This window comes from Homo sapiens, chromosome 10 (assembly GCF_000001405.40).
Source record: "Homo sapiens chromosome 10, GRCh38.p14 Primary Assembly".
In the NCBI taxonomy this organism is placed as follows: Eukaryota; Metazoa; Chordata; class Mammalia; order Primates; family Hominidae; genus Homo; species Homo sapiens.
The window spans coordinates 104,593,700-104,609,221 of record NC_000010.11 but is presented as its reverse complement, the minus strand read 5'-3'; the positions used below and the strand labels follow the sequence as shown (position 1 = coordinate 104,609,221).

The 15,522-nt window shown below is 41.9% G+C and overlaps 1 long non-coding RNA gene across 4 annotated transcripts in view; it reads right to left on the bottom strand.

Moving 5' to 3' along the window:
- The window catches only part of LOC105378464 (uncharacterized), a 57,847-nt gene that overhangs the window by 15,571 nt on the left and 26,754 nt on the right, over positions 1-15,522 (bottom strand). For 2 of the 4 annotated variants that reach the window (XR_946282.2, XR_946284.1), the window contains 4 exons: positions 14,387-14,506; positions 13,110-13,214; positions 11,728-11,853; positions 7,280-7,325 (listed from right to left, as the gene is read on the bottom strand). This is a non-coding gene — a long non-coding RNA (uncharacterized LOC105378464). The remainder of the gene's footprint in view (positions 1-7,279; positions 7,326-11,727; positions 11,854-13,109; positions 13,215-14,386; positions 14,507-15,522) is intronic. The other 2 variants (XR_946283.1, XR_007062285.1) reach the window with 2 other exon arrangements.

The window sequence follows — 15,522 nt, the reverse complement described above, 5'->3', positions numbered from 1 at the left end:
TTATTAAAGCTCTTTTCACAGACATCACACACAGTACACACACAGGCAGGCAGAAGAAAACCCAGTCACTGGGTAGGGTCCCTTAAGAGACAGAGCTAGGAAAACATGCAGATATCGAACCAGAAAGAAACTTATTCCCTAAGGCAGAATTGCTAAACAAAGCCTTGCCACAGGAGTCACAAGCCATGCCCTCGGGATGTAAAACAAGATGGAGGCTTGATTTCACAACCAAAACTTTGCAGAGACTACACACAGTGATAGTTGAAGAGAGCTGGCCAGTAAAACATCTCCTAAAAAAAAAAAAAATCTAAAAGTTAACTGCCGACAGGGTGGAAAAGAGGAAAGAAAAGAAACAGTTTAAAAATGCCTGAGGAAGAACCTCTTATACTTATGCAACAGGTTCCTCCACCAGGGAGAAAAGTTTAAGCTTAATTACTGTCTGATGGAGTAAAACCCGTTGAATGGGGAAGGGGTAGGCTCTGGCAGCTTGTGGCTAGGAACCAGCCAGCCAACTGTGTGGGACCCTTGGGCCATGTGTCCTTGCACATGGAGTGGGAAGGGAGTGCAGGGAGTGGGAAGTGGCGACGAGCTGCTGCTTGCTGGTTAGCTCCTGAAAAAGGAAGGAAAAGGCCATGAAAAGGCCCAGGAATGACAGGGGGTCGGGGCATGGTTCCCTCACGTTCAGAAGTCCAAGGATGAAAAGGTTTAGAAGCAACAGTGAGAGGTTTTGAGTCCCCATTTCACTCACAGCTTCTCGAGTCCCACGTTGGGTGCCAAAAATGTTGCAGGAATTTTCCTTAGTTCAGCTAAAAATAGGGTTCTTTGTCCCACAGCCATGAAAATTCAGGCTTACAGACAATTTGAATGGTGAGTAAGACAGGGCTTTATTGAGTGAAAAGGAAGAAAGGGGGAAACAAGGACTCTCACTAGGCCAGAGTCCCTGCTAAAGCACTTCCTGCCAGCTGTTCTAATCCCAGGTTCCACACAGGAAGAGGAGCAGCCAGGCTCCTTCCTGCTGCAAACTGTGAACTTCCTGAGGCTCCATCACAGTGCACAAGCTGGCTGGAGTTTCTCTGGGGACCCCCTCCCACCTGGCTGTCTCAGTAGCCTCTAGGACCTATGGCCAAAATCTGGAAAACTGAGCCTCCGTTTCCTCAATAGCAGAAAGGCTTCAAATTCTTCTACTATAGCAAAGAAAAGGATCAAGATGAAGCTGTTAATTTTCCATGGGAAAGCACTCTCAATCTTTCTTTCTTGCTACAAGGAGGGTGTCATTCATTTGCCTCCTTGGTGTCAGATACATTCCTCTCTTTTGTACTGAAAATGACATTTTCCAGACTTCTTGACAGCTGCCTTCTGGACTAGCCAATGAGAGGCAATATTGGGAGATTGGAGGACTAAGAGAGAGCAGTCAGGGCATTTCTCCCTTATTTCTGCTTTGATTGGCAACTCCTCCATGGTCCTAGTTCACAGTAGGCAGTTTCTGTTGTCCATCCAGCTCCTGTTTGTTGTCCATTCAGCTCACTCTGTCACTGTTCTTTATTGTAGAGTTCACTGTAGTCCAAGCACTATGGTAGGCAAGTGACTAAGGTCAGGCCAATCAGAGAGTAATAAGCTCAGGGTCATGGTGATTGGCTCAGGAATGGCCACATGACATAATTCAAGCCAACAGAATCAAATACAGCTGACCCTGGGACTTGTGCTTGGGCAACCAAGTAAGAATAATTTTGTTTTTCCCAGGGCTTGGCACTGTGAAGATGTAATTCTGGAGCTCCTATGTGGAAGGAGACTTTCTCCAAGTGAAATCAGAGAGAGATGCACCTTAGAGAGATGGAGAGAGAGAATCCAAGTCCTGATGGTATTATTTGCATCTCTACAGCTAGCTGGGTTGCAAGCTTGTCTGATATTGAATCAAGTCGCTGTATACTTCTGTTTCTAAAAGGTTTTCTGGTTTCAGCAAGTTTGAGTTGGATTTCTGTCGCTTGCAATGAAAAGAGTTCTAATACACCTATAACAAGTAAGGCATGATGTTAGTCACTCTGGAGAATCTCAAGATGTGTGAGCTCTCAGGTAGTTTAGAGAGGGAAAAAAAATGGATCCATTACTTGAAGCAGAGGGTGTAGTGGGAACAGGAGATAGAGAGAAAACACAACTACTCTACTTCAACTTGTATTTTGCCTTGACCCTTTCAGGGAAAATAATCTTCCTACAAAGAGGGTAGAACAATGTTTTTGCAGGGTTCAGAAATCTGAGATAAATAAGATAGAAGAAAGCTCACCACTGCTTTGAGTGAGTCCAAATTGCTTGTCCCAACTGAGCCACATTGAAGTGAACTTAAAGGACTTAAGGATGAGAATGTCAAGCCACAGGGGCTACACTTTGAAGGATCGTGGGTAATTGGAAATGCATCTGGATTTTTAAAAATAGGTTTTGTTATCTATAGTCCAAGGGTATATATTTAATCACTGAAAAATTAAACTGTTGGTTTTTAAACACAATGGAAAAAGACAACAGCATGAATCCAAAAAGAAGTTAGGCCAAACCACCCCAATCTCTTTTCTTTAATAAAATTATGAGATGGACATAAGGGAACGTGACAGATAGAATGTATTCAAATGGCAAAATGGTTGGCAGTATTTTCTCCTAGTGTTGAAAATTCTCGTTTTCAAATGGAGAAACAGGTCACATGATAGTACTACTCAGATGATTAATTGATCAGAGCCAAAGAGTGTTTGATCAATGGAGTTATGAAACTTGGAGGGCAGTCTCCAGGGAAACACTAGGAGGCTCTATCCTATTTTTAATTATATAGCAGTGATTATAATACTTACTGATTTTTAAATTACATAAATCTGGGAAAGTTTTGTTGATAAAATCAGGACTTAAAAGGTTATAACCGGCTGTAATAATTTACCTTAAAAGCAGTAATATAATTTTTAACAAAAAAAAGGTAAAGTCATACATTTAGGTTAATTTTTAAAACTACGCAAGTACAGAATGAAGACAATCTGGATTAACTGCATTTCAACCAAAAAAGATGTAAGTGTTTCGCTTGACTGCAAAATATGATATGATGCCGCCACTACAGAGGACAATGTAGGTTTACTCATGTGGGGAAAATGCCCATACTATTTTGTTAAGTGGATAACAACCAGGGCACAGAATACACACACTTGTGCACAGATATTAATAGGAAAAAAGGCCAGAAAGGTAGCAGTGGTTAATTCTCAGTGGTGAGAATACAGATGATCTTATTTTTCTTTGTGTTGTTTCATATTTTACATGTTTGCTGCAATTACTTTTTATAATTAAAATGTCATTTTAGCTTGATATGGATCAAAAGTATAACATAGCTAATAAAAACAAAAGAAATGCAAACTTAGGCTGCATACGTAGAATTATATTTTCCAGAAAAGAGATGTTGATCAGTTCATTCCTCTGTACTGGAACAACTACATCAGGGATAATGAATCAAGACCTGAAAACCATGTTTTACATGGGACTTTGACAATTTGGAATGTATATGGGAGTTGGCAAGGATGTGAAGGATCTGAAGGTTAAAGGAACTGGTGAGTATGGCCTGTAAAGAAAAAATATAATGGTCTACATTTGCTTTCTTCATATACATTAAAGGCTCTCGTATAAAAGGGGCAATAGATTTGTGACAGATTGACGATGGCCACAAATTCTTTGACACTCATTCCCTTAAAAGGTGAGAACATATATCCCCTCCCTTTGAAAGTGGATGGTCTCTGATCAACAGACTGTGACACAAGTGACCTTATGCCAGTTTCCAGGCCCAGGCCTTAAGAGACTGGCAGCTTCCATATTCCATATTCCATATTCACTGGCAACACCAATTCTGATGCAGCCAGTGGCCATATTAGAAGCCTGCCTACACTATGACCTCCATGCTATGAGGATGCCTATGCTAGCCACATAGAGGTGCTGCATAAAGTAACTGATGTCTGACCAGCCCCAGATGATCCAGCCATCCTAGTCCAGGCACCAGACATGTGAGTGAAGAAGCTTTCAGATGACACCTTCTGGGTGGACCCATATAAAGGATTACAAACAAGAACCACCCAGGTGAGCCCATCAATTCCAGAATCATGAGATATAATAATAAATCATTATTTTAAGTTATTGAGTGTTAGGATAGTTTGTTACAGAGCAGTAGAAAACTGAAACTCTTGTTATATCTAGCTTGATCTTAGTATAACAAGTTATAGGAGACCCTTGGTGGGGTTTTATGTAAGAGAATAACCATTGATCTTGTGTGATAAGGACTCTGACAATACAACATGGGATTTATGAGGGGTTTGTGGCACCTGAGTCAGTTCAGGGATGACACCTCAAAGTTTTGTTACAAGCTGCTAGAAACTACCACCGGCAAAATAAGACCAAACCATAAAGATAATAGAAGTTGGCTCCATCCTTAGGGATTCCCGCATGGAAAGAGAATCATGAGGAGAAACAGGAAACATAGGGAAATGGTGGGTGAGTCTTCACTAGTGAATTGAGACTAGTTACTGGGCTAGTGTACCTGCTGAGGAAAGTGATGGAGCACTTCTTCCTACTTTGTCAGGAGCGTGCTATCCTACTTTTCTACTTCTATTGATATTTCTTCTCCTTGATATTGAGTCTAAGAGGCGTCAGATCCCAAGTTTAGGGGACTTACCTACCCAATGCATGAAAATGAGTTTCACTATAAGAATTCGGAGATAGTATCTAGGAGGAGGGAGAAGAACTGCATGCTTCCAGAGCATCCTGGCCACAGCAATCCAAAAAAGAGGAGTACCAGAATGTTTTTTAGCATTTTCCCAGGAATGTATTCTGTATACATATTAACTGTATACATATTACATATCTTCAAGACAAATTCTCTCAGAAAATTCACCATAAGAGTACAGTATATTTTACTTCTATATCTACTAGCATATTGTTGAAGAAGCAGCACCTGCTTCAACTGTGGGTTGGCCAAATACGTGGGCGTTATGTCTGACCTTTTCTTTCATCCACAACGCTAAGTTTTGGAGTTGAGTCATCATGGAGCATTCTCTAAGTTTTTCCTCCATAATTTTCTTTTGCAATACCCCTGCTTTTTTCATTCTAAGCATTTATTGCAATGTATAAAATGTATATGTCTTTTCTTGTTCTTTCACTGGCTTTTGCCCCACTAGCCTGTAAGTTTGTGAGGACAAAGACTATGTCCTTGTTCACTGCTATATTCTCAGCACATTGGGCTATACCTAAGACAGTTAAGACATTCAGTAACTATTTGTTAAATTAATAACCAGACTTTTTTTCTTGCTCTCCCTGTTTTTAAGTCCAAGATTCATTTACTGGACACATATTTGAGAAACTTTCCACACACATCAAACTCAGAGAGAAGGGAGAAATAATGAAACTGCAAGAAACCAATCATCAAATTTTCAAAGTTTGGGCTTGATACGTATTCACAAATAACCAAGGGACAGCCACAGAATGGTAGATTAATAATAAATCACTTTCACTGTGATTAATGTTGCTATTTTACCAAACATTGTCATTTAGTCTCTTTTGACGGGACACCACCAAATAGAGGAGAACAATATGACCACTGTGTAGCTGGACAAACTATAACAAGTTTACAATCTTTTGAGTGCTGGATATTTCTGTTCTAGGAATTCATATTTAAATCAGATTTTGAACAGATGAAAGGAATGTACAATTAAAGTTAGCTTGAAGAGAGAGACAGGCAATTTTGCCCCCATGGAAAACAACTGGGCCTTTGGCAGATGCCAGTATTTTGGGAAAGAGGGGCTAAAATTGGGAGGGAAGAGCTGTCAGTCTTTGTACCACTTTCAGATCATCAGTAAGTGCGATTCTGTGGGCTTATTACAGCCCAGAGGAGCCATGTAGCTCAAGATGAAGATTTCCATATGGTGATGCAAATTAAAACCCTTCTGCAGAGGTGTCTGAAAAGAGCCAATCACTTGGAGAAATGCTCGGAAACTGTTTGAAGAAAGGAAAGTTCGGTGAGAGGAAGGAGGTAAAATGTCTTTGGCTAAAATGAAGTTGCTACTGTTGTTGCTGAAGACGTTTTAACAGCATTGGGTTCTGAGCCGTGGTCACAGAGAACAAAGTGCTGGGTCTGTTACTTTTATCACTCAGCACATTTAGCACTAAAAGAGAAATGTTCCCTTCTTCCACTCTGTCTGGTTTTAAGATCCCACCTGATTTTCCTTTGCATCTCTACTATTTTATCTCCTCACTGCAAGGGTATGGGTCTGTCTTCTGCACCTCAAATGCAAGGTGAGTTTCTTCCTGTTTCCCCTCTAGTTCTTGAATCTAATTTACAAACGACAGCTTGTATGGTGCTTTATAGTTTGCTAAACATACCCACATACCTTGTCTCACGGAGCCTTCATGATAATCTTTTAGGAAACTCAATGAGGAAAGAGAAAAAACATGAATAACTCCTAAGGGTACGGTCGTTGGACCTAGAAAGAGCTGAGTTTGATCCCCTGCTCCCTTGCTTCTTAGCTGTGTGACTTCAGCAAGTTACTTAACCTTTCTGTGTCTCAATCTCCCTATCCCAGGCTTTTAGTCTAGAAAGTGATATGGAATTTGGCTAAAAAGAATTAGATTCTAGCACCTGACTTCTTGGGCAGAATCTCTACCATTGGCCAGACATTGACGTTGGGCAAGTTATTAACAGTCAACATTTCTGTGCCACAGTATCCATATCTGGAAACTGGAGATAATGATAGTATCTTTTAACCAGAAGCTGGTTGTTAGGATTAAAGAAGTTAATATGTAGAAAGAATTTTAAAAAAAAAACCTGGCATGCAATAATCACTGTGTAAGTTTCACTGTGATAGTCATTATTTCTAAAAATATATTTTTTGACCTGCTAATAAAAGTAACACATCAGCATTGTAGAAATCCTGGGAAATCTCTATCTTTCCCTTTCTAGTTAATTGTTTTTTTAATGAATTATAGTGAACACAGCTCTAAAATATTCAACCAATACCTCCTCTCAATAGTACTATGCTCTCTCCCACCAGGCTGTCATAAAGTTATACAAGTTAGAACACAGGGACAGATACACACTTCTCCATCAACAACCACACACAACCAACAGAGAACAGAATTGAAATTAAAGTGAGAGTTTTTTCTGTGGCACTGGTTGGTTGCTTGTTTTCTGGGGCGGGGGGTGGGGTGGCAGGGGGTGGTTGTTGTTGTTTTAATTTGGCCTCTCTGTGCTGCTCTCTCTCAGTAAATAGCCACTCACTTTCAGACTCTTCAAAGATGACAAAGTTTCTATAAAGTGTGATGACCTGGAAAAAGACAGAAAGAAATAAACACCTATAACTTTTCCAGGAGAAGGAAGGAGATGTTTTCTCCCTGGCCTTCCCTGTGTGACACCCCCTGACAACACCAGAGAGGCCCCCTTGCCCTCTCAATCCACAAGGTGCCAGGCACCCTTCCCAAACGCCAGATGTAGCCAAATGGCACTTGCAGCCACATTCCTTTGAGCTAGAGGGGAGTGTTTGTCTTAAGGAAATCAAGTATCAGGAACCATATAATTTAACATCTAGCCCAGGACAGTTTTCAGGTGAAAGGGGGGCACAGTTAAGAATATTGCCAGATGGCATTCAAAGACTGGGATGGGTGGCTACCCCAGAGGTGATTGTGGCCACTTGTCCATCAGCTGCAGTCCCAGGTCCTGGGTATGCAAATGCTTTGTTGCTGGGGCTTCTTCATGAGCATGGTGACTACTGGAGCCAAATCCCTGTAAGGGATCCCCCACCCCTCCTTACTCTCCTCCAGATTTTTGTACAATATTACAATGCTTTGCCTAGGATAGAGGAAGTACATGTTCCTCCCAAACAGAAAAGATGTGCACATTTCCTCATTAAAGAAGGAAGAAATTTTATTACAGTACCAAGCCTACACTCAGCACAGGCTTCAGAAATATTTGATGAATGAATAGTGTTCTCAAGATGATAAAATAGATAACGTCAATGAAGTGCTTTCTCTGTGATGGATACCATGCTAAGTGTTTTGCACATATTGTCTCATTTGACCCTCACAGTAACCCCAGGAAGTAAGAGACATCCTCAAATAACAGATGAGGAAATAGAGGCTTTGAAAAGTTGAGAAACTGTCCAAGGTCACAAAGTTAGTGGTAAGTGGCAACGCCAAGACTCAAACCAAAGTCTACACTTTTAACCACTAAGAGCAATAATAAGTAAATGGTAATGACAATAACAACAACAACAAACACTGTGCACCAGGCACAGTTCCAAGCATTTTATATATATTCTATAGACTTACATATTGTCCCTGGGGCATTAGTATTACCATTCTACCCCCTTTACAGGTGAAGAGACCACAGCTCAGAGAGGCTAAATGACATGTCCAAGATCACACAGCTCTTAAATACCTGAGTGAGACACCAACCCAAGCAATTGGGTTTGGAGACTCATCCTATGCCACCCTTCTGCTGTCTCTCAACCTTGCTGCTCTGTTACTTATGATGGCCCAAGACAACATTGTTTGGCTGGGAATTCTCTGGCAGGACTCTGATCAAATTAACATTCAAGCAGACACTGTCTTTCATTCAATGTAATAAACTCTTATTATACTATTACTTATTTGGCCCATGGTTTCCTAGGAATTGTCAAGGACATAGCAGGAGACAGGTACCTTAGCCTTCTAGAACCTTAAAGTCCATTCAGGGCTGAGATTCTGTAAGTGCTACATGTCTACTGAATACCAGCTAGACCCTAGTAACTATGCAGGGTCCTTCCACATTCCCTGCTTCCTTTGATCTGCACATTTATCCTGAGATGTAGTATTATTTTCCCCTATATTCAAATAAAGAAACAGTGACTTTCAGCAGAGAAAGAGATCCCTCAGCCATTGGCCCTAGTTCTACCTGCCCAGGAATTCTCTCCAGGCCACATATATGGGTTAACCAGCTTCACACATCACAGAAGCACTCACCTTTAATTTTTTTCTTAATATTCTGTATGCGTGCACATGCGCGTGTGCACGCACACACACACACTCGGCCTAGCTATTAAGAACTAAATATAGAACTGATTGCTGGGTTCAGTGTTTATTCTAATTCGTGCAGGTTCATAAAGTCCACTTTAGACAAAAATAAGGCTGATTCACATATGTAAAAAAAATCAGTTCATATTTACAAGCTCCATAAAGCCTGCTGGAAATACTTAGGCTAAAAGATACAGCAAATGCATTTACAACTTTACCCAAATGTCTCACTAGCAGTGATCTGGAGGAGGTTCAGAGAGGGCTGAAAACCAGGAGCTCAAATAGTCTATGAGGATAATATATTCTAACTACCAAATGAACAGGGCAATCTGAGAATATTGGATTCAAATGGATTTTCCTGTGTTTGCAAAACTGCTGCAGAACACACCATAAATGGGGCTTATGACATATTTAAAGGACCAGGCTTCCTGCTTCCAATATTCTGGCAATTCTTGAAATTTCTGGGGGCAGACACTCTCCTTGCAACCAGCGTGGTACTACTCAGGCACGTTATTCATTAAACCAACAAATACTATGCCTCCAGCATTACTTGTGTGTTCAGGGGAAGATAAGAACAGAAATGTGGTTCCACTCTCAAAAAACTTACCATGTGACCCCAGTGGATTTAAAACAGAAGTTAGTTGGAGCCTATTTATTGACAGGTACCAAGGCCCACCCAAATTGATTCAAGGAGAAAGAAGATTTGTTGTCAGGAAGGGAAGAATCTTAAGGAACTTAGGTGCAGGGAGCACAGCCAGGCTTTTATCCACTTTTCCCTCTCTCTGGGAGCACCCTTATCTCCATTCTCAAGGCTTTTCTCACCACTTCTTTCTCCCTCCACCTGCTCCCTCTGAATCTATACAACCAATTGGGCATAAAGGGAGCAGGTGCTCTTGATCTGACAACAAAACCTTCTGCAAAGGAATCAAGAGACTGCCCAAATGCTAAGAAACACTGAAAGTCACCCACAATCATGGCTTCCCTGGGAAGGAAGGAGATGCAGCCCTGGGGGCTCTTGCCCCATTGACTGTGCCCACAGGGATGGAGCAGACTGGCTCATTTTGCATGGGCTTTGAAGTTGGTTCCCTGAATCTTATTCCCTCTTGGGAGAAGGGCCTTCTGCAAAGAGGCTACTTTCCAAAGAGGGATCATCATTTATAGAAATGTCGGGCCAGGCGTGGTGGCTTATGCCTGTAATCCCAGCGCTTTGGGAGGCTGAGGCAAGAGGATCACGAGGTCAGGAATTTGAGACCAGACTGGCCAACATGGTGAAACCCTGTCTCTACTAAAAACACACAAATTAGCCAGGCGTGCTGGTGTGCGCCTGTAATCCCAGCTACTCAGTAGGCTGAGGCAGGAGAATCGCATGAACCTGGGAGGTGGAGGTTGCAGTGAGCAGAGATCACGCCACTGCACTCCAGCCTGAGCAACAAAGTGAGACTCTGTCTCAAAAAAAAAAAAAAATCCACCTGTATGGAGGTCAGAGCTGCAGTCACTATGCCTCCCAGGACACAGAAGAAAAAAGGCCTCTGAGGACCTGTACTCTTGAGCCTGCAAGAGAGTACATGGCAATTACACACCTGCCTCAGACCAGAACTTAATGACTTACAATATTATCTACTCTACAAGCAGTAATGGAGAGCCTGCAGCAAGCCTATGCCTGGCACAGGGGGATCCCGAATTAGGAAACATAGTCACCAACTACGGATTCTGGATCCTACTGAAGAGCACAAACATGCCTGGAACCAACCACAATGTAAGGCAGAAGGTGGAGCATGCCTCTAAACAAGAGAGGAAACTAGCATTTGTTAAAAGACAGCTCTATGCAGGCATTTAAGCCTCCCACTCTCCCTGAAAGACACATGTTAGTGCAGAGAGTTAACTCAGGCTCAAAGAGGCAAAGGACTTTGTCCACAGCCACACTGTTAGTAACAGGATTTGGGCCCTGTTCTTCCCAAAACAGTAGGTTGCTTCCTTCTAGAACAATGCATTGTCCACAAGGGATACAGAAGGCCCAGAGAATGCAGAAGAGAAAGTGGCTCCTCAGGGGGAGCGGGCAAGACTGCATTGGCAAGATTTCTAGAGAGTTGGAAGAAGTGTTACATAAAATTAAATTACTAATGTACTTTCAACAGTGTGTGGGGAAGCAGATGTTGGAAGATTTGTTTGAAGCAGGCACAGTACGTGATTGACGATGATAAAGACAGCCTAGGAAGTACCAAGAGCAGACCCCAAAATAGCACTAAATGAGGCCACTTAGCGTAGAAGCAAATAGATCTATATCCTCACCCAGCCCCATATTACAGTGTTATATGGTTAGTGTTTCTAATGATACTTCTGGATTATGAAGAACTTGATGAATTGCACTGACATGTTGTCTAAGGTAACTAGAATGTGCCGTCAGGACTCTCTTTCTTGGCTCTGAATGGATCTTGGGCTAGCTGTGTGGTCTTGCACAAGTCAGTTAATTCCTCTGGACTTCAATCACCTCACTGAAAAAATAAGAGCTGTGACAACTCTAAAAGTCTTTCATTGGAAACAGAGTGATCCTGGAGGGAGAAATCATTCCTGCCCATCCCACCACAGCAGTGCCGACAGCCCCTGTGGGAGGTTGCCACATTCTTCCTTCTGGACCACCCAATCCATATATGGTTGTAGGCGCTAAAGACAATATCTTACTGCTTCCTCTTTCTGCTCCATTTCCCTAAAGGCCTTTCTTCTTTGCAATGGCTCTCTTTTGCCCAGGTTGTCACTCTTGATATCACGACCATACATGTTTCAAAATCAGGGGTACTTTGCCACTTACTAAAAAGGAAAAATATATATTACTATGACAATTTTTTTTTTTTTTTAGATAGAGTTTCACTCTTGTTGCCCCGGCTGGAGTGCAATGGCGCAATCTCAGCTCACTGCAACCTCCACCTCCCAGGTTCAAGCAGTACCCCTCCTTCAGCCTCCCAAGTAGCTGGGATCACAGGCATGCACCACCACACTTGGCTAATTTTTTTGTATTTTAAATAGAGACAGGATTTCGCCATGGTTGGCCAGGCTGGTCTCAAACTCCTGACTTCAGGTGATCCACCCACCTCGGTCTCCAAAAATGCTGGGATTACAGGAGTGAGCCACAGCACCTGGCTGGCAAATTATTTTTACTTAATATTTTTAAGGGCACAAGTCATGCTGTTTTTATACCAAGCTAGTTTTGCTATCTATAGGCAACGTGATTTCTACAAAAATGAAAACATGTAGCAGAGAAACCACTGATGCCCCTGGCTTCTACACTGCAGAATGTCAAGACTGAATGCAGGCCTGAACAAGCCATTCTTGTTGTGCTAGAAGCCTTGGCAATGAGGGGAGGGTCTTAGAGTTCATTTTAGTGCCCGTCCCCATTGATTGCCCTATCTCATGTTCAAAGGTCAGGCCAATCCAGATCAGGAACTGTGATTTGGCCTCAGCCCCCAGTTCTGTCCAAGGAGGGTACTTGAAGGTACAGCAGTAGAAGTCCAGTTCCTGGAGCCCTGGAGGTTCTTTAACCTTCAGAGCACACTGTTTATAACCAAATATCCCTAAGGGAGATAAGACCTTAATCCAGGGGTGATAAATAGGTTTCATCTAAAGTACCAACTTTGATCAATTCAGTAATGTCTTCCTGGAGCCTTGTACTGAGAAAGATTCTTAAACTGTTCCCCAGAGTGATATTCAAAAAGGTTAACAATCCACCAATCAGCACAAATGGCCAGCTGCAGTGCTGGCCAACCCTGCCCTGCCCAACCCTCACCCTCACCCCAACCCTTCTGGGATCTTCCAGGTGCCCTGCTGGTTTGGGTGTTAACTCTTTAGTTGCTGGGTCAGCATAGGGAGGTCCAAAAGGAGCCCTCCAGGCCACAGCTGTTTACCAGCTGATGCAGAAATGGTTCGATGTCTGAACCATCTGATTCTAAGCTCAATATCAGCTACAGCTGTCTCTCAATCCATAGGAAGTGCCAGCGGTGAATTAGTAGTGTCAGCCTTTGAGGGGGGAGGGGAAGAGAGTGCAGCATCATGTTGAATATGTATTTTACCTTTTAAAGAATCCATGTTTTTCTCAGTGGATCATGGGACTAGAAACTATTGTGTTGGCATTGCGAATTTTGACTGGACACAAATAGAGAGTTGAGAGGATGAACCTGAAACATATTCATTATCATTAAAACTTAGTAAAGAATCATATGTCTGAAAAAAATTTAAATTTGCGAAATCAAGCCTAAGGAAATTGAACTTAAAAACATCATTATGGAAAAAAAAACAACCTGAGTGATGACTGAATTCTACCAAAAATTTGAGGAACTAATCCTTTCAAACTCTTCCAAAAAAAACTGGTTATATGGAATAGAATTTCTCATAATGAAAATGGAAATGAAAACCAAAATGATTGAATTTTTTTTAAGAGACAGGGTCTTGTTCTGTCACCCAAGCTGGAGTGCAGTGGCACAATCATAGCTCACTGTAGCCTCCAACTTCTGGGCTCAAGCAATCCTTCTACCTCAGCCTTCTGAGTAGCTGGGACTACAGGCTAATGCCACTGTACCCAGCTAATTTTTAAAACTTTTTGTAGTCATGGGGTCTCAATATGTTTCCCAGGCTGGTCTCAAACTCCTGGCCTCAAGAGATTCTCCCATCTCAGCCTCCCAAAGTGCTGAGATTGCAGGCATGAGCCACCAGGTCCAGCTTCGGCTGGAAATTTTTAGGTGCATCAGATAAAAAATGATCAAAGAATTAAATTTACTTATTAGAATTTACCCTATAAAATCATCTTAACAAAAAAATTAATGTTTTTATTATTCTAATACAAATAATTTTATTTACAGACCTGAAATCAAAATGTACTTGGGGGTCAAAATAGCAAGGAACAAGCTTTCAAAAAGTCAAACTGGGCTAGGATTTGTCAATGTTTCCTATCATTTTGAGCAGTACCCTGGGTCCTCTCTCACAATTAGGACTTGTGTCACAGTCACAACATAAACCATGTGGCAATTGCTGGGGTGCAGGCGTAGGGCATGCCCCCTACATTCCTCCAGCAACAATATGCTGTCACATCTTCCGGGGGAACCCCAATTTAGAATCACCATTGAATTGATACACTGTTCTTGCGAGTGCATGATTTTCCCACTAGAGCAGGAAAAACTGTTTAAGAAACTGTGCTTTAAATATTGAGCCCTTCCCTTATCTCCTTGTGTGCCTCTCCCCTACCCTCTCTACCCTGAGTGATTAAACACCTGTGCCCTGTTCCCCACCTGCTCCCTCACTAGTCTGCTCCATCACTGTCTCTCATCGGACCACTCTGCAATAACATACTCACCAGGCCTCCTGTTTCCACTCACCCTCTTTACAATCATTCTTCAATCTGTAGCTGGAGAGATCCCTCAAAAACCTAAGTCAAATCATGTTGTTCCTCTTCTTAGAGCCATTCAACGGTTCCCTATTGCATGTAGAATTAAGCATAAAATATAAAATCCTTATTCTGGTTTATGAAGCGTTTCACAATCTTACCCCTGCCTACTGTACCAGATATATTTTGTACCCTCTCCTGCCTTTCTCCCCTCTTCTCCTGCGTTTCTTTCATTCCTGTAAATTCCCACTGTAGATCCTCAGCACTGGCAGTTTCCTCTACCTGAAGCATTCTTTCCCTGATCGTGCCCTGTTTGGCTTCTTCTTGACTTTCAGGTCATAGCTTCTCAGTCTTCTGAGAGATCTTTTCTGACCATTACCCCCAAACCGAAGAAACCACAGTTACTATTTCATCCTGCTTTAATTCTCTTCATAGCATTACACCACTTTTTTAATCTGTTTAATATTTGTCATATCCTTCATTACAATGTTAAGCTCTCTAAGAGTAGGGACTAATTTGATCTTGTTCACCATATGTAAGCACCCAATATATATTCATGAATAGGTAGATAATGAATGAATGAATGAATGAGCAAATGAACATAGGTAGTACCTTAAAGACTGCTGAAATTTTAGGAGCCAGTGCTGGGACTATCAAAGAGAAAAGAAGATAAGCTGACTCTTCCTTCTCTCAACCTAAGATGCTGCTCAAATTTGGCCTTTCCCTCAGGAAGCTTACGCTACCCACAGAGGCCTCACGTCACTGCTTCTATAGAAGTAATACACATTTGCAGGTAACCGTTTTCTCCACGGTGATATCACTGATGCCACCGTACTGTATTATCTTCCACATTGTTTTGCTCTGCCTCTTCATCTGGTTTCAATCTTCCCAACAAGAGTAATCTCCTTGCAGGCTTGAACTATATCTTTTGTGACCTTCAGTTCCTAATAGGCACCCAGTAAGTGTTTTATAAACCATATAAGTTCAGGCTTGGGGGTAATCTTAAAGATCACTTTCTTGCAATTCCCATTGTGGTGATAAAAGAGAGCAGAGACCTAGAGACTGAAGTGACTTTCCCAAGGTTATGTGGCCAGCTAGAAACAGGA